Raw genomic sequence first — 27,528 nt, 5'->3', positions numbered from 1 at the left:
TCAATCATTAAAAAACAAAAAATTCCTTCTGATGACCTCTCTTTAGAAAGCCATTCTTGCTACTTTTTTCCAGCTGATTTTCAAAGGAAAAAGGGGCCAAAAAGGCTGGGGCCCCCTGAATAAACACACATTTGCTAGCTTTTGCACACCTGTCCAACCCTTGTGAAATCTGAAAGTCACCTTACATCTCAGGTGTCAGAGCAGCTCTTGGAGACGGGGGCAGATCAAATCTCCCTCTCTGTGCCAGCCAGTTCCCTGCCTTCCCCTCAGGGCGATTCTCCCGCCCTCTCCCACTCTGTTCCCACTTCAGTCATCTGCTTTGCACCTGCTGGTCAGGAGAAAAAAAAAAAAACAACACTACGGAGTCTCAGGTTAACGTCTTTCTCCATATTTATTAACCGTCACTTTCAGTTTTGGATGTAGGCTCCAGTCTGAAAGAGTTACATGTTCTAGCCCTTGTAGTTACTATCATCTGTTCACCTAACAGTTACCTGCCTAAACCTTAACTTTTCCTATTCTGCCTCCCACGCAGAGTGAAGGAATCACACGCCGACGATCCTGCTCCAGGCTTTGGCCAGTGGAAATGTCACAAAAATGAGTCTCCTGCCTTGACTTTAAAAGGTGCTCCCTTTTCATTTTAAAAACCTACTGGCTGGGCGCGGTGGCTCACACCTGTAATCCCAGCACTTTGGGAGGCCGAGGTGGGCGGATCACAAGGTCAGGAGATCGAGACCATCCTGGCTAACACGGTGAAACCCCATCTCTACTAAAACTACAAAAAAAAAAAAATTAGATGGGCATGGTAGTCCCAGCTACTTGGGAGGCTGAGGCAGGAGAATGGTGTGAACCCAGGAGGTGGAGCTTGCAGTGAGCCGAGATCACGCCACCACACTCCATCCTGGGCAACAGAGCGACAGAGCGAGACTTTTCAAAAAAAAAATTTTTTTTTAAATATATATAATTAATACATATAAGTAAAATATATAAACATATAAAAATAAAATAAACATAATATATATTATATAGATATGTTTTAAATCTCTAACTGACTTTACTGAACTGAGTCATGGAGTTTATCCTTTTATACATATTTTGCCTTTCAAGATTTGAGGAATAAATACATCCTTTCTCTCATTTCTATTATTTACTTCTTTTCCTCTCTTTTAAATCAGTTGCTATAATTACCAATACAGCAAGAATCATTTACAGATCAGAGTAACCGAAGCAATGTCAGTGACACATAACTTTATAAATGTTGAACAACTACAAAGGAATTAGAATGGTTTTAAAGAACGTTTAATGACATGGGTAGATGTCTGTGACAGAATAGGTTAAATTAAAAAAAAAAGTTCAAAAGAGTAGATACAGCAAAATTTAAGTACTCACATGTAGGAAAAAATTGGAAAGATAAAAATATTAAGAGTGACTGTCATAAGGCACTAGGATTAGACATGCTTTTTTATTTTTATTTTTTGAGACAGGGTCTCACTCTGTCACCCAAGCTGGAGTGCGGTGGTGCCATCCCAGCTACTTCTGCCTTGACCTGCTGGGCTCAAGTGACCCTCCCACCTCAGCCTTCCAAGTAGCTGGGACTACAGGTGTGCACCACCATGCCTGGCTATTTTTTTTATTTTTTATAGAGATGGGGGTCTCACTATGTTGCTCCAGCTGGTCTTGAACTTCTGGACTAAGTGATTTTTCTGCCTCAGCCTCCCAAAGTGCTGGGATTATAGGCATGAGCCACCATGCCTGGCCTAGACATGATTTTTATATCTTCTTTTTATCCGTACATTTTAGCTTTTTAAAAATAAAAATATGGTATTTAAAAATAATAATGGCCTACACTGTGTGCTAGGCACCACCCCAGTGGATTAACCCACTCAACCCTTACAACAATCTGATTTTCTCCAGATGAAGAAACCAAAGCATAGAGCCATCATAAAATACCATGAAAGGTTATTTTAAAATAGATAACACGAAGAATGGCCAAAGTTAAACTGGTTTAGCTTTTCTCCAAAAGTTTTCAAAACCCAGTGAATGGAATCTCTGCCTAGAGAGGCACGGCAGTGGTCCCAGCACCAAGGGCTTTACCCTATGTGATTACCAGGAACAATTCCACATTTCACATCACAGCACGCTTCACAATGTCACTTCAAAGGGGCACACATTTTATCTGATTATTCGTAGCACTGAGAACCTGTGTCTAACAGGACCTGCCAATCTGTGTCACGCTGGTTCTCTTCCCTACCTTTTTAACGCTGCCCTGCCCTCCTCTCCTCCTGACCCCAATCCTCTTTATCCACAAGGTCCGGTTTAATCCAGCTTCCTTCATCCCACATTTCAGGGCCACCATCTTGCCCTCTTCGGAGCTCATAAAGCTATTCATTTGACAGTCTGTGTAATTCATTTTACAATCACAGGGGGAGGCAGTGGTGGGAACTTGAGATGTCTGTATTTATTTTACATGTTTACATGGATCTTTCCTATTTACATAGGAAATTCTTGAGAAGCTCTCTCTGCCAGCTAGTTCTTGAGGGTACCCTCTCGCCATCTAGTACAGATTCCATTTCCTTTCCCCATCTTACTCTCCTCCCTCCTGCATGATCTATTTTTCTCTCTTGCACTATCTTCTTCAGCCTATATTCTAGTAAATCCTGCCTGAAAACACACACATTGTAAAAACCATCTTTTTGACCCCATGCTCCATTCCAGATACCAGCTCCTATCTCTTAGTTGGCAGTTAAGCCAAACTTCTCCAACAAGTATGTTATTTGCTGCTTCTCTTTCCATATTTCACAAACTTTTCTCAACCAGTACCATTTGATCTTTAACCCTGTTCAGATTCCTCAAGCTCCTCTTGCTAAAATCGCTGACAACATCCACTGTTGCTGACCCCAGTGGTTTTCTCCTGGCCCGCATCTGATTGGAGCTCTCAGCAGCAGCAGACACATCTTGCAGCCCTGTCTTCTGGAAACTCTTTCTCTTGCCTTCCCTTACAGCATTCTGCCTGGTTTCTCTCACACCCTGGGGGCTTTTCTTTCTTATCTTGTTTGCTGGCAACTCCTCTTTCAACAGGCAGGAGTATCCCAGGCTCAGATTCAGATCCCTTCCTCGTCCCCATTCCCTCTTCCTCCCTAGCTGATCTGTCTGGAGGTGTATCCAGTCCCACAGCTTTAGTTACCATCTATATCCTGATGCTCCCCAAATACAGCATTCTCACCCTGTGCTCTAGACATCTATGTTTATATTTGCAACTACCGGCCTGACACATCCACATGGCTAGCTAAATAGAGATTTCAAACACAGCATGTTCAGGCTGGACGCAGTGGCTCATGCCTGTAATTCTAGCACTTTGGGAGGCCAAGGTGGGCGGATCACTTGAGGTCAGGAGTTTGAGACCAGCCTGGCCACCATGGCAAAACCCCATCTTTACTAAAAATACAAAAATTAGCCGGGCATGGTGGCTCGTGACTGTAGTCCCAGCTATTTGGGAGGCTGAGGCAAAAGAATCACTTGAACCCAGGAGGTGGAGGTTGCAGTGAGCCGAGATCGCGGCATTACACTCCAGCCTGAGTGACAGAGCGAGACTCCATCTCCAAATACACACACAGACACACACACACACACACACACACACACAGCACGTTCAAAAGACAGCACTTAATTCCTTCTGTCTCCAATCCTATTCCTTTTCCGTCTTCCTCATTTCAGAGATTGGCACCGTTGTCCTCACAAACGGTATAGCTGAATCCACAGAGTCATCCCTGATTCCTTTCCTCCCCTCGCCTCCACATGGAACCACTGCAGGGTTTTGGACCTGCCTCTGAACCCAACTCGAATCTGACTCACTCCCTCATCTCCGCCATATCCTCCTGAGGCACCCGCATCTCTCCTCTGTCCTGCTGCAATAGGCTTCTACCAACCAGAGAGTCAGTTAGAAAATATGAATCAGTTTAAACCCTCCATGATTTTCAATTTTATTTAGCCAAACTAACGGTGACTATAGGCCCTGTGTCCGGCATACCCCGGCTGCGGCCCAAGCCTCTGAGCTAACTCTTCCACCTGATGTTCCAGTTACCCTGGACTTCTTCCTGCAACTTAGGCACATCTGGCTGTCCTCACCAGGGCATTTGTTCCCTTGGTCCGGAGCACTCTTTCCCCAGCCTTCCCTACTGGCTCCTTCTCAGGCTCCTATCGGAGACCAAATGTCATCTCTTTGGAGCAGGCTTCCTGATCACCGCATCCCATCAGCCACCTTCATTTCTTTCACAGCACTTGCTGCTGCTGGAATGCCTTATGAGTTTACTGGGTTACTCTGCCCCCCTTCTGGAGTGTTCGTGCAGTGATGGCAGAGGCCTGCTTGTTCGCTGCTGTGTGTCTCGAGGGTGAACCACGGCCTCCCTTACAGTAGTCACTCACTGTATTCTTGAGAATGACCGAAAAGTGCTCAATTATATGCCCTGAAAAATGCTGTGCTCAGATCCAAAATCCTGTTGCCTGATGAAGGCAAGGAACTGTAGCTGCCCCAGTGATGATGAGTTTATTTGGATTTTATGCTGTAGGGTAGAGGGCAGATTCAGGAGTCACACTGCCTAGGTTTGAATCCTTGACTCCCAGGCATGTGTGTGTGCTGTGTGTATATGTGTGATCTTGGTCATTACTTAGCCTTTTAAAACTTCAGTTTCTTCAACTATAAAATAGGGTGATTTTTAGTTTTCACATATGAGTGAGAACATGCGGTGCTTAACTTGCTGTTAAAAAAGTTCATCTTGGCCGGGCGAGGTGGCTCACGCCTGTAATCCCAGCACTTTGGGAGGCCGAGGCGGGTGGATGACGAGGTCAGGAGATCAAGACCATCCTGGCTAACACGGCGAAACCCCATCTCTACTAAAAATACAAAAAATTAGACGGGCGTGGTGGCAGGCGCCTGTAGTCCCAGCTACTCGGGAGGCTGAGGCAGGAGAATGGCGTGAACCCGGAAGGCAGAGCTTGCAGTGAGCCAAGATCGCGCCACTGCACTCCAGCCTGGGTGACAGAGCGAGACTCCGTCTCAAAAAAAAAAAAAGTTAATCTCAGAAGTAAAAAAGCAGAACAGGGGCTAATAGGGGCTGGAAAGGGGAAGGAGAAGGGGGGAATGGGAAGAGACTGTCAAAGGATACAAAATTACAGCTAAAAGTGTAAGAGGAATACGTTCTAATGTTCCATACCACTACAGGATGACTATAGTTAACAATAATACCTTATATGGTCTTAAGTAGCTAGAAGGAGGATATTGAGTGTTCTCAACACAAACAAATGATAAATGTTTGAGATGATGGATATGCTAATTACCCTGATCTGATCACTATACGTAATATGTATCAAAGCATAACCACATACCCCACGAATGTGTACAATTATTATTTGTCAATTTAAAAAAATAAGAAAATTTTAAATGGTGTGATATTTGTGAGGATGAAATGAGGTGATCTCTGTAAAAATGAAGAACAGTGCTTGGCTCCTAGGTGACACTAAATGAATGCTAGCCACTGTTCTTAAGCTGTAATTTCTTTTGTATCATTCTAAAACTTGACGCATGGGACAGTGGAATTTAGAAAGTTTCTAATTTGTAGGTTGTTAAACTTTTAGAGATGGCTTTGCTGAGATTTTAATTTCAAAAAGAAACCTTTCTACCCTCTGATAGATAGGCTGCCAACGACAGCTGATGTAGTAATAACATGCTTCAGGAAGCAATTCAATAGGAATATGGGTGAGTCTAATTTAGTGCTAGAATAAGTAAAATATAAAAATTTCTTACTTTGAGTCATAAGTTGAGGCTAAGAATTTATCTGAGGTTCTCTCCCACTTCACATAACTGTTCTTAGGGATTAAAACACTAAAATCTTTTGTTTTTTAAAAAATTATTCATATTTCACAAGGCCAAGGAGCCAGTTTTCTAAAGCACTTTATGTTAGGCTTAGCAGACTGAATCTTCACACCTCTTCATTCTTGCTATGTCCAGTTTCCTTACTCTCCCTTCAATTTATCTAAAGTCACATACGATCTATCTATAGTCAGAGGTACCCAAAGGTGTCGGATGTCTCAGTAAGTTCAGCAGTGTCACATGGAAAGCTGGGCACTGGAAGAAATCCACTATCTCTGTTGAAGTCCCGAACATGAAAGATACGTACCATATAGAACTAGAGGGATACTTTTCTCATATTCAGTACCTGAGGCAGATGATTTGAAAGGACTGGCAAAAGAGGACTGGCAGTTCAGAGGCTTTTACACAGAAGAACCACATTAAAAGTTAAAGATCAGTATGGTGAGAGTTTGGGTCTATCCCAGTTGGATTCTGCAGCTGGTTTCAAGAGGCAGTGAAATATCTCATTTTATAGTATATATATGATTTTATATATATCTTATATATCATGCATTTAACTTTTATAAGTTCTTAAAATGCTTTCGATTTCTCTTATACCACTTATTATAATATTACTTTATCATTTTACATTTTTTTTTTCTTTTTTTTGAGACTGAGCCTCGCTCTGTTGCCCAGGCTGGAGTGCAGTGGCATGATCTCAGTCTCCTGGGTAGCTGGGACTACAGCTGCCTGCCATCATGCCTGGCTAATTTTTGTATTTTTAGTAGAGATGGGGTTTTACCATGTTGGCCAGGCTGATCTTGATCTCCTCCTTGGCCTCCCAAAGTGCTGGGATTACAGGTGTGAGCCATTGCACCCAGCTTTTTTGTTTTTTTTGTTTTTTTTTTTTTGTTTTTTTTTGTTTTTTTTGTTTTTTTTGTTTTTTTGAGACGGAGTCTCGCTCTGTCGCCCAGGCCAGACTGCGGACTGCAGTGGCGCAATCTCGGCTCACTGCAAGCTCCGCTTCCCGGGTTCACGCAATTCTCCTGCCTCAGCCTCCCGAGTAGCTGGGACTACAGGCGCCCGCCACCGCGCCCGGCTAATTTTTTGTATTTTTAGTAGAGACGGGGTTTCACCTTGTCAGCCAGGATGGTCTCGATCTCCTGACCTCATGATCCACCCGCCTCGGCCTCCCAAAGTGCTGGGATTACAGGCGTGAGCCACCGCGCCCGGCCCGCGCCCGGCTTTTTTTAAAAAAATGTGTTTATCTGCTGTTAGATTGAGAACTCCTTGATATCAGGAATTGTCTCTTAACCACATTTATACCTGCACTGTGTGGCACTTAGTAGGATCTTAATAAATGTTGGTTAAATTAAGTTGACAGGCTTTTACTTAAATCTAATATGATTTCATTTAATATTTGTAGTATGAAAGCAGCACAACCCAAAATTTATCATATTTCTAGCAATCTTGCAAGCAAATAAAGAATTTCATTTAAAAGTGCTCTATCTGAACTTGGAGACACATCTGATCATCATTAGCAGACAGGATTTTTATGGAAGTTTGTTTCCTTCACTGTATTCTAAGATGGCTTAAGAAGTTTGCTACATAACCCACCCCTGAATAATACTGCTAACTCATTAGTGAAATTTTAAACATCTTTTTATCATTCATTTTTCATTCATGCAGCATTTTGAAATACCTATCAGTATGATAGGGTGGTTAATATGGGCCCTGGAGCAAGACTGTCTTGGTTCAAATTATTGTGTGACTTTGAACAAGTTTCTTCTACCTCTCCAGGCCTCAGTTATAAAAAAGGAACACTAATAATACCTCGTAGGCTACGGCAAAGTATAAATGATTGTGTGTGTGTGTGTGTGTGTGTGCATTTTGTAAGTGTCATGTAAGTATTAGTTGTTACTACATATAGAATGTTTGTTTTTATTAATAGGACAAGGTCCCTTGAGGCACTCCAAGATGTTTTCTACCAAAGGTAATGTGGAGGATCCTTTCACTGAAAGTAAAGGTACATACTTTTAGTCATCAGTAATCGTTACTTTTTATTTTTAAATTTTTCTCTTTTTTTAAGAGATGGGGTCTTGCTTTGTCTTCCAGGCTGGAGGGCAGTGGTATCATCATAACTCAATGTAACCTTGACCTCATGGGCTCAAGCAATCCTCCCTCCTTACCTCCTCAGCCTCCTGAATAGCTGGGAGTACAAGTACACGCCACCAGGCCAGGCTAACTTTAAAAAAGTGTTTTTTTGTTTTGTTTTGTTTTGTTTTTTGAGACAGGGTCTCAGTATGTTGCCCAGTCTGGTCTCAAACTCCTGGCCTCGAGCGATCCTCCTGCCTCGGGCTCCCAAAGTGCTGGGATTACAGGCATGAGCTACCTCACCTGGCCCTACTTTTAAAGCTAATTATTGTGGGCCAGTTCTTGAAGGAGCTATAAATGGTGGCTCACATCTTGCCTTCTTCACCTCCACATAATGGAGATATTGGTGCTATTAAATAGTTTAAAAAAGTACAGACCTCAAGGATTTTAATATTCTTTCTATATTTTAACCATTATTTTGAAAGCAACCAATTAACAGAGCACTCATCAATTTATGGATTTAGGAATAGTATATACACTACAGTGCTTAAAACACTTCCAACTATTCTAAATTATTGGTATTGATCAAAACACAATAAAAATGTAAAATATAATACTTTGATATCAAGTTTTTCAACTCCCTGGAGACTGAATCCTGTCAAAAATGAACAGAACAACAGAAATAGCCCATTCTCTGCGTACCCCTCTTTAATACAACATTGATTCTTGAATATTCTCACCTAGTGATTGCAAGTTTATAATACATTTAGAAGGAATAATGGGGTCTTAACAAAAGAGACAAAATTCTAGAATTTAGTAAAAATGAGAACATTAAAAAGTATTCAATCACTTAAAATTCTCATGAATGATTTCCTGAGTCATTTATCGTTTAACTTTGCTTGATATGGTATTTCAATTGTGTTTCTATGCTTCATTTACTAGAGAAAGACAAAAATAATTTGGATACCTTACATTTTAAATAATTCAAGTTAATGGAGTGGAAACATTCTACATTAAAAGGAACAAATGTTGACATCAGAGATAGTTGATGGGTGCCTAAATGTCGGAACAGTTCAATTTATAAAGGTTTTCAGGGAAATGAAGTTTGAATTAGAACACCATTGTGCCATTTGCATTGGAAAGGCACATTTGCATGCCCAAGATACTGGAGTCATTAGACCATTGACACCCCTTTATCCCCCATTACCAGGCACCCCTCCTTACCTTCAATGAACACCTCAGCAGATGTTGTGTCTGAGCCGCTGGGATTCGTAGCCAAACAGGTGTAGCGACCTGTGTCGTCCTCAAAGGCCTCTGCTATGATCAGGGTATGGAGGTCCCCTCCCTCACAGTGGATTTGAATATCAGGAGTGTTGTGCAGTTCTTTCCCTTCACAGAACCATCTGCAGGCCAAATGGAGGTCAAAGGATAGGAGGGAAAGAAAGGAAATGGTGATGTTTAAAACAATAAAGCAGAAGTGAAGGCTGGTTGCTATGCAAAATGATGTTTGTTTGATTAAAAAAAAAACAATGTCAGTGTTACTAATGGAAACTCTACAATTTAGACTGTGAAATTAATGACTAGACAATTCCCACAGGTTTTCTTTGTAAAGCATCTTGTACATTTTATCAACCCAAGTGATGCTATCAAACTCAGAAAGACCATTTCAGTTATAAAAGGAACAGAAACTCAGTGTCTTATAAAATGCTTTATAACAAATACCTCCTCCATTTATTACAATTTTATCTATTAGTCTTATCTAAAGAAAAATAGAAAATATAAACATTATGCTCAAAATATTTAATATATGAAAAGAAACTTATCATCATGTTAAAAAATCACAGGCAGCAATATTTTTGTTGACCTTAAGACTTCTGATCAGCTGAGCAGTAACAGATTTAATGCCTTCCACATTTCTGATATTTACAAAACTTTCTAGCAGACCGCCTTGGCCTCCAAGATGTGGAGAGATATAGCAGTTGTGCTGTAATTCATTCTTGCTCGTCAGCACTTTTCCTTTCCCAAACAATCAGGTCCTTCGTGTGGGAAATTTCAGGCTGCCAGACTGTTTGAACACAGGTTCTCTCACTCTCTCTCCTCTCTTCCCCCAGCACCTCAAATTCTCAGTAGCATTTGGTGGCCTTTACATTTTACCAAGAAACAAACATACAAACAAAACAAAACAAAGCCCAAAGCTGCCCTAAAAAAACCCCAAATGGGATTTATTTTTAAAGAAATATGTAGAAATCTGCCACTTAGAACTAAAAGGATTGAATTCTCTGGGAAAATATTGTCCATTTAGCTCTTAATGAGCACTTAGAGATTTTCTCTAAGTCCAGTTTCCTATAAAATTACTTGGATTTCACATCCTTTTGTGAAATATGACACGGAAGACATGTTTTTTCTGTATTTAGAGTAGAATAATACAGGTTTTTGTCTAATTTAATTTGAAAATAAAGTTAATAAAGCAAATGAGTTTGCTAATACTCTGAGTATCAACCCCAGAAACCATGCTCAACAGTAAATATGTGATTCCCACCAAAGAAGAGATAAGACCTGGGGAATTAAAGAACATACAATAATCAGCCAACTGAGCATTCTATGCAATGCAAACCATATTATTTTGGGGGCAACGGAGCAGGACAGTATTTCTTGATTCTGGGGCACTGTATGGTTTTCTTTGTTGTCATAAAGTCTTGAAGAACTTTCCAGCCCAGAGTCATCCTCCAGTCTCTTTCTTTTTTTTCTGTTATCTTTCCAAAGCCACAGTCCAGATCCTCACCCATCAGTATTAACTGTGGCTTTAGTGTTTTAATTGGTCTCTCCATCACCAGCAGACTATAAATTCTTTCTATATTCTGTCATCAGATTAATGCCCTTGAGGTTTTTCCCTACATACATCATTCTCTAAACTTCAGATCTGTCACTGTGGGTTTTCATATAACTTGGCCCTATCGTTTTCTTATACTAATCCTCTGTTTCTGTCGAATATTTGCATGGACTTACTGCTCCTTACATAGCCCTCAAATATTACCTGCCTACTTTTCTGTGCCCACATTTTCTTCTCCTTGGAATTATCTCCTTACCCTGTTCATTAATCCCATCTAGGAACTATTCTTCCTTAAGACCAAGCTAAAGGCATCTTCAACAGACTAAAATAAACTGAATATACACTAACAGAGCTTCTTCTATGTGTGAGGAACTGCATTACCTACTACAGGTAATAGAAAAAATAACGCCTGCTAAACTCTGAAACTAGTTGAGTCTGTCTGTGAATTAGAGTGTTTCTACATTCCATAAAAAAGATATAAACCACCTACTGGGGGAAAATGAAGCATAAAAAAATGCAACAGAGGTTCCATAGAGAGAAGGATTCGTTTCTTTTGGTTAGATGTACTCCACAGGGAAACATTTGCCAACTACCTAAGTGACTAGTATGTTGTCCTCTAACTCAGTGAACTTATAGCCTGCAAGCCTACTGCCTGTTTTTATAAGGTCCTTGAGCTAAGAATGGTTTTTATACTTTTAAGGGTTTGAAAAAAATCAAAAGAAGAAGAGTATTTTGTGACATAAAGTTCACATTTCGGAGTCCTTAAATAAGGTTTTTTTTTTTTGGTGGGGGGCGGGGAACATAACCATGCTCATTCATTTACATGTTGTCTATGTCTGCTTTTGCATTATAGTCAGAGTCAAGTAGTAGTTGCAACATATTATATGGCCCTCAAAGCCCCAATTATGTAGTATCTGGATCTTTATAGAAAATGATTCCCCACTCCTGCTTTTTGCTCCTCAAAGTGTGGTCCTGAGGCCAGCAGCATCAGCATCACCTGGAAGCTTGTTAGAAGTGCAGTATCTTGACCCTCACCCCAAATCTACTGAATCAGTTCAGATCCCCTAGGTGATCATGTGCACTTTAAGAAGTGTTGGTCTGATAAGTTCTGGACCAGAATGACCCGCCTCACAGAGTCTTGGCTTTCCATCCAGGTTGCTCACTTGTTTCACATAGCAACCATTTTTTTTGTTTGTTTTTGAGATGGAGTCTCGCTGTCTCGCCCAGGCTGGAGTGCAGTGGCGCGATCTCAGCTCACTGCAAGCTCCGCCTCCCGGGTTCATGCCATTCTCCTGCCTCAACCTCCCAAGCAACCATTTTTTAAAAATGTATATTGTACCTCTGGTCCCTCGCATGCCAAAGCAGCAGAGACACTGAAAATTAAAAGGCATGCTTAATACATTCATATGCCAAACATTGTGCTAGAACCTAGAGAGTAAGTTAATATAAGACCAGGCCTCTACCCTGGAAAAACTTACATTCCAATAGGATAGAAAGGCCCATCAAGAGCTAATTTCAGTATAACATGGAAAGTTAAGTACCATGGTTGTGATAAAGACAAGGTGCCAAATCCATCAATACATTTAAAGGTCCAGTGTGGGCCTGTGATCTCAGAAACATGATTGTATCCTAGTATATTCCAAGTAAGCTAAGCCATTAATTACTTGCACCCTTCATCAAAGAATTTTCTACATCATTTTGTGAAATATTTTTTAACACAATCATTAAAAATACACTCTTCCATTTAACAAAAAACCCTTGACATTTTGTCTCTTCATACAGATGAGGAACCTGAACTGGAAGGCTCAATGACTTTCCTAAAGTCACAGTTGAGCCTCTTTGCTCTGCCATTGCTAGTTCCATTGAGCAAATGATTCCAATCATAGATCAAACACACACTGATCTAAATACTGGCCAGAAACTATGCTGCCCTTTTTGTTTTTAGGGAGAGCCTGCCATCAAAATATTTGCAGGGTTTTTTTTTTTTTTTTTTCCTCCTCCTCTTGGGTCACACCCTAACTTACCACATTTTAACAACATAGAACTGGTGACTTGACAGGCACTTACGTCAATAACTGACTTTCCCTGGCTGTCAGTTGCTTTCCCTGAAAGCAATATGCATGGCTCATGCTAATTATTTTACTTATACCTTACTGGGCAAATTTATTCTTTTCTCTGCATTATTTCTCCTATGTATTACAATCTGAGATGCTGTTTCAATTTTATTCACTGAGGTGGAGAACAAAAAACATGCATATTTAAAAAGCAAAAACAGGTCAGCCTAGTGGTTTACAAGCACCAATCATTTTGCCATATGCGGTTGCTGAAGAGTTTTATTACATAATGAGCCATTTCAGATGACTAAATAGATGAGTTAGACTGAGGCAGAAAATGCATTCATTGTCTTAACTTTTCTGCCAGTATTAAGGTATATTTCAAGCACTTTATAGCACTTACTGATTATTTTCTTTAGCCTTAAACTCATCATCACTCAGTTTATAATCAGTCTTAATTTATTTTTTTAAAGTACAAATTCCATGGAAGAAACAGTACAGAAAAGCATTCTGCAACATATTCACGGGTTGTTAGCAGGTACTCAATGAGAAAAAATTTCATGGTCAAATAAGTTTAGTAAATGGCTGGATTGAGACAACGTTAAACAAATTTCTTTGCTGCAGGCCTTCCCAGGGCCTTAAATAAGGAAATGTGAATTGCAAACATCAAGGAGGGAGATGTAATATGTATGTAGCATTTTACAAATCTATTAGAGCACAGATTTCTTCACTATTTGTTATTTCATCGGATGCATGTTCTAAAGTAATGTGGGGCTGATAATAAATATTTTAAAGCATCAACTATGTTCAATACTCTATGGATCAATTTTAAAAGTTAAAAATTGCATTTTTTTTAAACAATCAAGAAGTAGTTGATTTCTAGTTGGGGAAATTGGCATAAATACATTTGATATCAAATAATGGCATGAGGAAACAATACAGACGATATCAGAAAGGGACAAATGATCAATTATCAAATGAATGAGGTTAATTATTTTTGAGTACAGAGAGAAACATACAAAAAGAACATAATTTTGCATGCATTCAATTTTGCATCTAGGACATTGCTGACCCTGCAGGGACTGCCCATCCCAGGGTTAGCCAGTTCCTAGAGGTGTTAAAGACCCTCCTGGGAGCATGCCCTCCATATGCAAACTAACCAGTCCAGAGCCCACACACTCTGCACCCCCTCTATTGGGCTCTCATACTCAGGGCCACAACTTCCCTCCCCACATCAACCCAGGGCCAGATACCAGACAACCAGAAACAGCCCCTGTGCTTGAGAACCCACTGGAATTACTCAAAACAGGCAGTTCTAACCCTGCGTACCTTGCCTCACCTATCCCTTTCCTGTGGGTTCCTAGGCAAAGGCACCTGTCCACATTTCCCCCTTGCTCCTTGGCCTTCTGACTGACCCTGGCACGTCCCCTGCAGTCCCCTGTGGTGTGGCATGCCCCCTCCTCTTGGGAACTATGAATAACAAACTATTTAGTATCTTTCCAATGACAGTCATCTCCTAATCTGTTGACCTCACCACATCCGAATAGCAGTCAAACCTACATTTTCAAACAGGGCACATTGCCATTGAGCTTATCAAAGAAGAATATGCTTACAGATGAAGAAAGGACTGAACAAATAGTTTAATATCGGCCACAGTTTGTGCTTTAAAATATATATGGAGAGAGGCTTATAGACTTTCACCAACTCAAACTGAAGTGCATTTAAAAAGCATAAAATTAAACTGAAAATAATCTAGTTAGTGCATATATGAGAAAAGGAAATCTGCCTCATCCACTCTTCATGTAGCTGATTAAAGATGCATCACCTTCTTGTCTAAACTAACAGAATCTTAGAGTTTTGAAGTTTGGCACCACACATTGGACGAGATGGGTGTGCTACAGTCATGTTTGTTTAGTTCAGTTTCTCAAAGGTCATAATTCCACCAGCTTCCTGGCAAAGAACTCAAAACATTTACTATTCTCTAAAGAGGTAAATGGGAGGAGATCTGTTGGTTAAATTTTGACCTCTTGAAATTTCTCTCACATTAAATTCTTGTTGCTGGTATCATTTAGGGAAAGAGATACTAGGGTGACAAGCTAAACAGTGAAACATACAAAATAGGATGAAGTATAGGTTTGGTAAATGCATGGCACAGGCAAGGACACTATCCCCCTTCTTCCTGTGGCAGACATCACTCACTCATCAGAATGTTCTTTGCTAGTGAGACAGAATGTCTGAGAATCCTCAGCACAGCTGTTTAAGGCTACAAAGCAACTAAAGTTGAAGGCTGAAATGAAACACATTTGCCATCCTCAATTTGATCTCTTTCTAGGGGATACATTCTCACTTTCCTCCAGATCCTGAAAGCCCTGTTTAATTGCTATGGGCTAAGAGTGGAGAGGGGTTTTGATTGAGAGAGGAGTGTGGGTGGAATGTGGCTAAGAGAGAATCCACTCAAGTAAAATTTGACTTGAGAACCCCCTCGGACATTTATTCATTCCATTTTGAATACCTGGAAGCCTTTTATCTAGTGAATAGTATCTGGGTAGCATATCAAAAAATTAAAATCTTATTATCTACATTCCCATTCTGAACTTCTGATAAATTTCAACTTCAATCACATTTTTTATTTTCTGCCATAAAATCATAAAAATATGTAATTATGATCTCATAATTAGGATGGAAAGATCATACAATATTTGGGAACAATGACAATTCTTAAGGACTTATAAAAATTCAAATTAAGGGAAAGAGAATATTTATTGAATGCATATTATATGCAAATATGACCTTATTTTATTTTCACAAGTACCTTGTGAAGTAGTTGTCATTATATTTTTAGATACAGCAACTCTCATTTATCTATAGCAATTAAAAATAAGAACACAAACAATAAAAACCACGTAGTCTCCAAAATTTCATTTTCCTTAATGCTTTTGGCTTTCATCTTTCATCAAAACATGTATCTATGGATAGACACATGTTTTAACAAAGCCTACTGATTCTTCCTCTTTAATTTCTAGTGCAGCTGTTAAATAGCTATGTAATTGCCACACAAACAAGGAGCTGAGGGAAACTGGAGAGCCAAACCTTGCAAAATTAGTGGGCATGGTACATGCCCCTTCAAAAGAATTAAGTTGCTAATATAAGAATAAACCAGTTGGGACTGGCTGTCAGATTTCAAGACCATAAACAGCGTATGAAAATTACCTTGTACTAATTGGAAATAAAATGTAAAAGGATTAGAAGATCTAGTCATACTCATTCATTCATTCATTCATCAATCAATTATTCATTCATTCATCAAGGGGCTTTTTTCACTTCAACCGCAATGCAGGAATCGACTGGAAGCATAGATGTCAGCTAAGCCAGGTTTCTTAGTTCATGAGACTAGTAGCAGGGGCTAACGGAGAAGAAAATCCAATTGTAGACATAAGGAAATACAATGACTATATTTTACCTAATGAGCTTAGATTTTTCCATCACATAGAAACCTGTATTGCACCAGGCATGGTGGCTCAAGCCTGTAATCCCAGCACTTTGGGAGGCCGAGGCGGGCAGATCACAAGGTCAGGAGTTCAAGCAAGACCAGCCTGGCCAGCATGGTGAAACCCCGTCTCTACTAAAAATACAAAAATTAGCCGGGCATGGTGGTGCATGCCTGTAGTCCCAGCTACTCAGGAGGCTGAGGCAGGAGAATGGCGTGAACCCGGGAGGTGAAGGTTGCAGTGAGTCAAGATCGTGCCACTGCACTCCAGCCTGGGTGACAGAGCGAGACTCTGTCTCAAAAAAAAGGAAAAAAAAAAAAGAGGAAGAAGAAAGAAACTTGTACTGCTTCAAAAATCTTTCAAAGTTGGGTATAGCTTCATACTTACAGATTAAGTTTCTTTGGATATAATACTCAAGTTGAAGTCAATTTGTTGGAGAGGAGATAATATTCTCCAGTATTGAATTTTCCTTGTTCATAAAGGATTATAGTACATAAAAGGAAAAAGGATTGTAACATTATAGTTCTGTAAGATGGCATATTTCTTTATACTATTCTGTGCTGGGATTTTGAAATTGTTTTTTATAAATATGTATACGTACACATACATATGTGTGTGTGTGTGTGTATTGTTGTTGTTGCATAATGATTCCTCCCTCCCCGTAAGGATTTTCCAAACATTCCAGCTTAAAAATTAGATGGTGCCAAAAATTCAAGGATCACATTATCGCACTAGCAGGATGTGGCTGGATTGAAATTCAAGAAGATGTTTTACATGAAAATGTTCAATATGTAATTGTTCACTTTCTACATTTCAAGGTGAGGTTAAATGTGACTGCTGACTTGGTCTGAGTCCAGTTGTTAAAGGAGAGTGGCTGCATCTGTCCACAGTCCTAGGGCCTTTTTGGTTAGGGATCAAAGGGTCAGGAGGATAATTAAAATCAAGGGGCTGCAGCTGCTTCAGACCAAATGGCTGTCCTTGAAAACCACCAGTCACTTCCATTCTTGGGTGGTGTAAGAACATTTAAAAATTCACCTCCCTGACGTGGTCTACTAATATCTTTCTCTTGTGATCCTGGCAACTGGCAGTGGGGCTCTGAACTGTATACTGGAGCTGCAGTACACATCTGGGAATGCTCAGAACACTCCGATTCTCCAAGATAGGGTCATGGGTGTTGATTTTTATGATAATAAATTCATGATTAATGAAAGGAACCAACAAATCACTGCAAAGTCTAAGATACACTTTCTAGTATAGACTACAAATAGCTTATGTTAAAAAATCACATATGGCATTGCTTGGCTTACAAGTTGACTAGCAGTATCTATTTTAATACTAACACTTAGCAGGAAATATAGATTTTATGAGTGACAGTTTCTTTTGGCTATCTTTATTTTATTGAACCACAACTACGTATCATGAAAATTCTCTGTGCACTGTATTTTAAACATGTGGCTTTTAAAATGAAACAAATCTGACTTATAACGCTTATAAAGTTTCATCAGTGAATCTTGGCTAATGTTCTCCAACTTTGCTAAGCAAAATGGTAAATGTTAAAAGCCAGTTAATGGAAACAATCAGGTGCTTATTAAATAAAAGCCTTTAAAAACTGTTGAGTCTTTATTTTCTCCTTTAAATCAATTCCTTTATGCTCAAGGGGAAACAAGGTTATGTTGAAAGATGTCTCTCCATTTCTTCCTCACAACTTCACTGATTTGTGCTTCCTGACAAAATGTATCTTCAAAGGGATGTCACGGGTGATTTCAGGATGGCAAATTTAGCCCCCAGCTGCCTCCTCCTCCCAAAGCACATGCAACCACATGGCTTCATGAAGTCCATACTTGAAGAAAACTGAAGCAACCAGTTTCTGTAATGGTATAATAATGAAAATAAAGGGTAGGAAAAAACCCCAGAGAGATAAGTGCTTCAGCAATGGTTATATTTTCCAGGTGTTCCTTTTCCTCAAAGGAATGGCAGTGGTCTGCCACGAACTGGAGAACCACCAAAACGAAATTTGAAAGTGATGCCCAAGATAAGTTTTGTTGCTGCCTAAGCTCCAAGTCAGGCCATCTATAAGTATTGCATTTCATACATCCACAATGAAACACTAATTAATTTTTATGGAGTATTTTTTGTCTGGTCACCAAAGATTTCTTAATTTTTTACATGTGTTCACATTAACCACATGACACACTATGTTTATTCTGTCATGTGGACTTATAGGCAGACCGAAGTGAAATTAATCGTTGTCTAAATTTACTATGGCTATAATTTCATGACTGCTTAGCTCGAAGGCCAATAGCTAAATTTGTGTGGACAACAGATGTACTTTAACCTTATGGCCCCAAAGAGACCAATAAATAGATTGGCTTTTTGAAATTCAAAGCCCAGGAAATAATAAAATAGAATTTGAACCAAAACCAGATTCATGTCTAGCAAGTCTTTCCTCAAATAACCACTTTATCTCCTAAGGAAAAAGGATAAAATAGAAGGATGGACCAGCCCAGATAAAACTCAACTACAAAAATGATTTTATCTTGCCTTTTTTTTTTCTTTTTGACCATGAGAGGTAGCTTAGTGTCTGACACTAGGAATATACAGATATTTATTTACCATCTTTTAAAAACAAATACAGGCTGGGCATGGTGGCTCACGCCTATAATCCCAGCACTTTAGGAGGCCAAGGTGGAAGGATCACTTCAGCCCAGGAGTTAGAGACCAGTCTGGGCAAGATGACAAGACCCTGTCTCTACAAAAAAAATTTGAAAACTAACTGGGCATGGTGGCACGTGTCAGTAGTCCCAGGTACTCAGGAGGCTGAGGTGGGAGGATCACTTGAGCCCAGGAATTCGAGGCAGCAGTGAGCTATGATTGTGCCACTGCACTCTAGCCTGAGTGACAAAGCAAGATCTCATCACAAAAAAAAAAAAAAAAACCAAATAAAAACCCACCACCAACAAAAAACCAAAACCTATAAAAATAGATAAGTGAAATCTACTAAATATCTGTGCTGCCAGAAGCTATTAAAATCTTAGATTGCTTCTAATATTTTCCTCATTGTTGATGCAGTGGAAAGGACCTAGGACTTGGAGTCAGCAGTTCTGATGAAGCAGCCTCATTGTCTGGGGTAAATACCTGGGGTTCGTCGTTGTTTTGCACCAAAAAGATGAAGGACATGGACACACACAAGGAGTGGGTTTAGAAGCAAAGGTTTAATAGGCGAAAGAAAGATAAAGGAGAACAGCTCTCTCTCTTTTTTTGAGACAGAGGGGCTCCCGAATGGGAGTGCACTGGATTTTATAGGCAGGTTTGAGGTGGTGGTGTCCGATTTACGTAGGGCCCACAGATTGGTTGGACCAGGTGTGACGTTTTGGGAAGGCTGGCCACCCCACCCTAATCTTATTATGCAAATGGGCTTTCCACTTGGCTAGCCCATGTCATCTGCTCCTTACTGTACATGTGGCTGGCAAAGAAAAGGGAAGGTGGAGCTGCCATTTTGAACATGCCTAGTCTCAGGTGCCTGTTCCTATTGGCACAACTGCTGGCATTCACCCATGCAAGCTTCCCGCTTGCTTGTCTGTGTCTGCAGCTCAATTTTACAGGCTGCTCGTTAGTATAATTTTGGGGCTGCTTTTCATTAAAAGGAAAACCTTACCAAGGACTCCTATACCCTCACTATCTGCCTAAATAATTTCTTCTTAACTCTTATATCACTGAGTTCCAGTTTTGCCTGGTCCATAGATCAACTAAGTTGACTGTGGTCCAGTCAGTCTCTCATTTGGGGTTATAGTTTCCTTATTCGTGAAATGCAAGGAATGGGCTAAGACTAGAGTTTCCTCAAATGTGTACCAAGAAACTAGTTCTGTAGCAAGTTGACAGATAACATTGAAAAGGTTTCTGTGGCCAAATAGGTTTACCAAGCACTGGGTTAAACAAAGTTAAACATCTGTCAGAAAGTTAAACAGAACTTTTTAGAGCTCTGTGCCAATATACACTGAATTTCTGAGAGAGAAATATGGCAGGCATCATTCTCAATCTTACTGGACCATGGAACATGTGTTCTGTGAATCATGTTGAAGGATCAGTGTTCTGGGAACACATTTTGAAAACACTGGGTTGGATTATCACTAAAACCTCATCTGGCTCTATGGTGGTGACATTTAATACCTAGCATACATTTTACAACTAGCTTTTCCAGAGCTTATGGCAGACATCAGTAATACGGCAAGCCCTATATCCCATTGATCCCCAACTCGGTTTCAGAGTCCTTCTCCAGTGATGCTAGGGGCAGCCACTACCAACCAATTAGTGTTGGCCCCTGAGTTGAAACATATTTGCTATGCCTGTTTTAACAGTCTATGTTTACGTATAATTTTCTTACACAGGAATTAATGTGAAATGTTGATTTCTAATCTCTCACGTATCCTTGACCGTTAATTCCAAGAATTTTCTGTTTTTTTAAATAAGCTGCCATTTGGGCATGGCACATGAAAATACTGGATTTCCCCCCACAATCTGGATATGCAGGGTAAACATATATTGCCCAAGCCGGGACATTTCTGAGGATGAAATAAATAGGTAACCATTGATAATTATAGGAATAAATAATAACTGTTTCGGGTAAACTAGGATGGGCAGTTGTCCTACTTACAGCTCATTGCAAGAGCAACTAAAAAATGTCGTTTTGGCACTAATGAATATTATGGCTTTTTGCAAATGTGACTCATTCCCATGAGTAGACAGGAGTACATTTCACAATACGTGAAGGAAAAAAAGGTTCCCACCCCATCTGTCACTCATTCACAAATTCTCAAGTTACACTTGTTAGCTAAAAAAATAGATTCATCCTCACCAATTCCCTATGCAAGTACAAAAATAAGTCAGCATGACCTGACAAGCCACACTTCAAAGTTACCTACATTGTGAAAATTTGTATTGAATGCTTTCAAGGCTCCAAAGCGTTGGGGGTGGGGGGTGGGGGGGTGGAGAATGGATTATAGAGAGCTGAGAATGAGAAATTGCATACATAAATCAGCTAGAGGTGCACATTCAGCTATTCTGTTGCTACAATTACAGCAGGTAATTATTAGCTATTGTTGTAACTTGGATTACATTCCAAATGGGATAAAATGGGAGATGCTTTATCAGACAATGCTGTCAGTCTTCTGTGCATTTGGAACCTGTCCACTGAAATACAATGATCCCCTCAGAATTATGAAACTCCAAAGGACTAAAGTCAAACTAGGCAAAGGGGCCACAGCTCCTATTGGTGTCTTCGACTCTATGGAATTGCAGAAACCCACGTAAAACAGTTCATGTACGGACTCCTAGAATGCCCAGCAGTTAGTTCTTTGCATTTAACAAACAATTACATCCAATACAACTTTTTTCCTTAGCAATGGAAGAACTTTCCCCAAAGTCAAAGGACAGGAGATGTCCCTCAAAATTTCCCCGAGTTCATTAGTGAAACCCCCAGTTCCTTGCCTTAATCTATGTAATCACGACTAAGAATATGGGAGGAGAAAACTGAATGGAAGAAGAGATTGAGAATGAGAGGAAAATGCCTTACTTTTGGAAAAAGCTAAAACTTTAGAATTCAAAAGGCTTCGCTTCTTTATTTTTCATCTGTTCTCCAAATGATGCTTCAGTTGGTTGAGGCTCCCTCCACAGAGCCAAGTTCAATTGCTCAGGGCAAGGAGGACAGCCAGATTTGGTGGTGATTCTGTCAGAGGCTGAGGAAGAGCCTCCCTTTGCAGAGTCCTGGCTCTAGTCTAATCTAATGGTGTTCAAATGTGGCTAGTGTGGTCTCTGAGGAACCACAAAACAGGCATCTCAAACAGGGCATGAGTGCACACGAACTTAAAACTGTAAACTGCCCCGTCAGTCAATAATTGTATGTACAGAAATGGATTCACTTTCTTTTTCAAGGGTTTTCCCAGCTAACTCCTTTCAAAGCCACCCTCCTTCCCGAATGCTTTTCCCTTGTTCTTATTCTGTGTTCCTTCTAGAAGTTCATGTTTAGAGGTCAGCTTTCCAAGGAGAGCTATGATAAATGAAGTATCCACTGAGGAGAGAACTCTTTTAATTTGATAATGAAACATTAGAGGTAGAAGGAATTATATTCTTAGCAGGTAGCACTTATGGACCTTGCACCAACTATTCTGGCTAAAATTGTGAATGTCTTCATTTTTTAAAAAAGTGAAATTACACTATTACACACACACACACACACACAAGTAGCCATATACATATATGCCTGGATTTAACATCTGACACACTCCTTGAATCAAGTTCCTGAAAGATTTGCAAACATTCTGCAAATGCTGCCTCCTTTTCTTGTTCTAGTTACACAGGTAATTCTCTAAGTAACACCTGTCCTCCTCCCAACCATTTTGATCAAATACATACTTTTGACTGTGTAGACAAGTGAGCTGTTGTCCAAGAAGGCTGCCTCCACTGCTTCCCCTGAGAGCCTGGTTATGCAGAGCTGCAGCAGAGCGGGGAGGGGCCTCAGGTGTGTGAGCAAGAACAGGAAGTCAGGACTAATTACACCTTGTTTTATTTGGCCATTTGAATAACGAATAAAATGCCATGTTTCATTTCAGTTGGTTTTTCACAGCAAATTGCCTAAGGCTGACATTTCATTCTATTAATAATAGACTAGATTTTGTTTTTAAAAGTAGGAAAACTAATGTTATCACTTGATACAGATTTAGATCTTTTTCTTTGAAAAATACAGTTTTCGTTATGTCATGATGAAAATGTTCTTCTTTCTGACACAATTAGAGCCTCACTACCTGGCTACAGTCCATCATTTTGTGCTTATATCCTGTATGCCCTAAAGCAACTGTGATCTCACAATGCACAACTTTTAAAAATTGGCTTCAGAGGCACTTAGAGACTTGGCAAAAGACAAAAAAATACACATAACACCCCTTCCCTCCTCCCCAAAAAAAACAACTCTAAAGCTATTACATGGTGTGGTGGGGAAGAGGTGGAATTAGAAAAAAAGGATTTAGCATATGATATTTACTAGTTGCAGGAAATTATAATCGTTCCTTTGTTTGCATAAGCAAATAAAAATGTGTATTTTTGTGTTTAAAATTATCACTGATGAGCCATGTGTAGTCCCAGCTACTTAGAAGGCTGAGGTTGAAGGATTGCTTGAGCCCAGGAGTTTGAAGCCAGCCTGGGCAACACAGTGAGACTCTGTGTCTTAAAAAAAAAATAACTGATCTCATGCCTGTAATCTCAGCACTTTGGGAGGTCGAGGTGGGCGGATCATGAGGTCAGGAGATCGAGACCATCCTGGCTAACATGGTGAAACCCTGTCTCTACTAAAAATACGAAAAATTAGCTGGGCATGGTGGCGGGTGCCTGTAGTCCCAGCTACTCAGAAGGCTGAGGCAGGAGAATGGCGTGAACCCGGGAGGCAGAGGTTGCAGTGAGCTGCACTCCAGCCTGGGAGTCTCCAGATGAGACTCTGTCTCAAAAAAGAAAGAAAGAAAGAAACAAACAAACAAACAAGCAAACGATAATGACTATACGTGTTTGCTGTGAAGGAAAAGAACAGCATACTCAAAGGTTGTCTTGTGGATCAATGTTCTAATTATCAGAGCCCAATATGTGTATAGCCGAAGAGCTAGATAATGTGATTTCTGCCTCAGCCATATCTCTCCTTGGGGTTGCCAAGAACTGTCTGTCATAAGGAGGACAGGTCAACAGCTTTCAAGTCTGTGTACATTGTGAGAAAGTGTTTCCCCACTACCTTACCATTCTGGCAATTTATAGATGTTGGGAAAATTAAAAATTAATCTGTACTAGAAAAAGGTGGAGAGGTCCATCCTATATGTAAATACTATTTACACACCTGCCTTTTTGCAATTCCTTTGGGCAAGAATGATCATAGTCTCCCTATAGCCTTTAGTGTTCCACTGATCCGCTGTTTTTCCAGGTTGTTTGAAATTGGACGTAAAAATAGTTGTCTGGGTACTATGTTAGGTCTATGTTGAAGGAATTAAAAAAAATTCCCTGAGGTTTCTTATGGCTAAAATTATTCCATATGTTCAAAGATGAAATAGATCAAAATGGCTTAGTGAGTTCCCTGTCACTAGATGCTCTGAAGAGGAAGAAATAATTGACAGAGGTGTTGTAAAGAAAATTCAAGAACTAGATGGATGATTCCTTGAGGGACTACGATGACTGGTGCTATCATTTTTCTTTTCTTTTAGCAAGCATGACAACTGACGGCTGAAAGTGGGACAAATCATCTAATGCCTGGTGTGCTGAACACTAAAGAATGGCACAGTCCTCTTAATTATGATGCATTTATTAGATTAGGCTAATTTAATTAAGATAATGCTGGAGATTTCCAGGGGCTTTCTAATTAGGATGGTTTATTGGGGACACACTAGCTGTAAAATGGAGCTTAGATTCAGCACACACACACAAAAATACTATGATGTTTCCCTGTTTGCATCACAAAATATATTTTAAATAATGCTTTCATTCTTTGAACGAAAACCTGAATCAACATCTCACATTTCCTCTCCTAGGAAAGCTTTCTAAACTTAATCATATTCATTCGTAACTTCCTTTGTACTAAAGTTTCCAATGTTTCTTCCCAAGGTTCATGTTTTAGCCTTATTTCATTGACGTAGAACCTCTAACTTTAAAATGTTTGTGTTAACCTGCACGTTGTGCACATGTACCCTAGAACTTAAAGTATAATTAAAAACATATAAAAAATAAAAAAATAAAAATGTGTTAGAAAATTACATGCTAAATTCAGATCCAATGTGGTGTAATTTAATTTTTCAAAGGCCCATTTGAGAGCTTTGAAGAGATTTTTAAAACGCTATTTAACCAAAGAATCAGTTTCATGAAATTTATTTTCACATGTACATATTTTGGTAGTTTCCTGAATATCCCACCCCTTCCTCCATTTTTATATCCTTTCTGATTTTTCAGCATTCTTCTTGGGGAAGAATCTCATGCTTATCACCTATAGAGTAAAGAAAATCATGATTTCTGCTTGGGATTGGTGCACACATAAGACTATCTGTTGGGAAAGGAAAGTGCTTTTCACTGCTCAAGGAACTCTCTGCCATGGTCACGCGGTATGTGACGCTTCACAAGCGACATCTGCCCCTCAACATTTTAACCCTCAGAGCCTACCCTCCTGAGAGGGTGTGGAGTGTTGAATCTGCCTCTGCCCCACCAGCTATGCTCAGTGTTGAGAAGCCAAAACAAAAACAAAGCAAACAAACAAATACAAAAAAACTAAAGGAAAACCAGTCCCTCAGTTGGTTGTACAGAATCACTATTTTTAGCTATTCACTTTTGTTCAAAAACAATTCTTTTCAATAAGAGATAAAATTTGCATTTTTGTTCAAGTAAACATAACATGCAGATATTCATGGTTATAACCTCTCATTTTTCTTCTTTACTCTCATGTCACTGAGGAGGAGGAGTAGAAATTCTTCCCTCCTCCCCTACCTCTTCTTCTTGTAAAGCATCATTATGTCATTGTGATTTCTAAGTGGCTAAGAACTAAAGTACTTAATAGCTCTAAAATTCTGCTGGGATTAGAGGTTTTCTGGCCAGTGACTAAAGAGCTAACCTTGCGGGGGGGAAAAAAAAAGAGTTCCATCTTCAGAGATTCTGTTTTAATTGGTCCAAGGTCGGGCTGGGCTTTTTTGTTTGTTTAATTGATACATGGTGACTGTTCACACTTCTAGGGTGTAAGTGTTACTTTGATGCATGTTTGTGACAGGTAGTGATCCAGTTAGAGTGACTGGAATGTCCCTCACCTCAAACATTTATCATTTCTTTGTGTTGGGAACATTCCAGATCTTAAGGAAAAAAAAAGAGCTAACCTTGGATGTTACAAAGAAAATGTTAAATCTGTTGCCAAGCCATTTACTGCAATGTTAAAAGCTAAAAGAACCAGTTTGCCCAACACTCTTGAGCCTAATAACTAGTATACTGAGGAGGTGGAACAGCCTTCTAACACTGCTTTAGAAGTGATTTATTGATCCCTGCGCAATAATTCTTTAGCGATTCATATAACCAGAATTTACAGATTTAGTCCTAACCTCAGGAAAAATTGACTTCATTCTTGAACCTTTTGCCTTCTTGCATCAATCTTGGAATTACAATTAGCTAAGTTTAATTACGATCCTGAAAAGGCACTTTCCAAACCCCTTGTGAGCAAAATCTGATTTTCTAAAGTTTGGATTATATCACTTAGTCTTTAGAAAGCCATCTGTAAATACATTTATGTATTTAGCAAATAATATCATCAGATTGTACATATTTTACATAAAGGAGGAAAGAAAGGGATATTCAGAAAGTACTATTATACTTGGTAATACTGTTATACACATATGATATGCATAGGGCAAGAGGGTTCTTGGTGGAGATGGTGGCAGGGTATGGGTACAGTTTTCCAGTTGGGAGCTATGTGAACATCTAAAAGGAAAATGAAGATATTTAAAATACAAGCCAAAACTCATAATATTGAAAATTGCTATAACCAATGTGGGAATATAATTTGGTGTAAGCTGTTAAAAAAAGAATTTGACAAAATTTAGGATACATATACAATTGACCCAGCAGTTTCATTTCTAAGAAGTTGTGCTTAATTTACTCACAAAAGGACACAAAGACACAGGAAAGACAAGAATGTTCATTTCAGCACTTTTCACAAAGGAAAACTTGGCCTAAATGTCCATCAAAAAGGAAACGGCCATTATGGTATCCTGCATAATGAAATACTATGCAATCTTTAAAAAGAATGTTAGACGCAGCTGTCAACAACACATCGTAGACTAACTGTAGACTTCTATTCTATACCATCGTGGTTTCACTGAACAATATATTTTTGGAGGGTTGTAACTTATCTTGAGAGGAGGGACAGAGGCTGAGGGAAGAAGTTAGAGAAAAACTTTAACTTTTCACTGTGGAAAATTCTGCATTTATTTTCACTGCAAGCAAATATAAATCTTTCTCTTTTCTTTTTCTTTTTTTTCTTTTCTTTTCTTTCAGATGGAGTCTCACTCTCGTCGCCTAGGCTGGAGTGCAGTGGTGTGATCTCAGCTCACTGCAACCTCCGCCTCCTGGGTTCAAGCAATTCTCCCGCCTCAGCCTCCTGAGTAGCTGGGATTACAAGCATCCACCACCATGCCTGGTTAATTTTTGTACTTTTAGTAGAGATGG

General features: G+C 39.6%; 1 protein-coding gene and 1 long non-coding RNA gene across 18 annotated transcripts in view; one reads left to right on the top strand and one right to left on the bottom strand.

Annotated features, from left to right (window-relative positions):
* The window catches only part of PALLD (palladin, cytoskeletal associated protein), a 431,390-nt gene that overhangs the window by 250,913 nt on the left and 152,949 nt on the right, over window positions 1-27,528 (bottom strand). For 14 of the 17 annotated variants that reach the window (XM_011531768.3, XM_011531769.3, XM_011531771.3 and 11 more), the window contains one exon: window positions 9,161-9,339. In XM_011531768.3, coding sequence (XP_011530070.1) covers window positions 9,161-9,339 — 179 coding nt within the window. Of the gene's footprint in view, window positions 1-9,160; window positions 9,340-22,716; window positions 22,829-27,528 lie in introns of those variants that run through there. The other 3 variants (XM_011531775.2, XM_047449865.1, XM_047449866.1) reach the window with 1 other exon arrangement.
* Window positions 557-27,377, top strand: LOC124900808 (uncharacterized). Its single transcript, XR_007058360.1, has 3 exons — window positions 557-621; window positions 7,794-7,868; window positions 27,358-27,377. It is a non-coding gene; the product is annotated as an uncharacterized LOC124900808 (long non-coding RNA).

Source organism: Homo sapiens, chromosome 4 (genome assembly GCF_000001405.40).
Source record: "Homo sapiens chromosome 4, GRCh38.p14 Primary Assembly".
Lineage (NCBI taxonomy): Eukaryota > Metazoa > Chordata > Mammalia > Primates > Hominidae > Homo > Homo sapiens.
The sequence above is the reverse complement of the archived record's forward strand: the minus strand, read 5'-3'. Positions and strand labels throughout refer to the sequence as shown.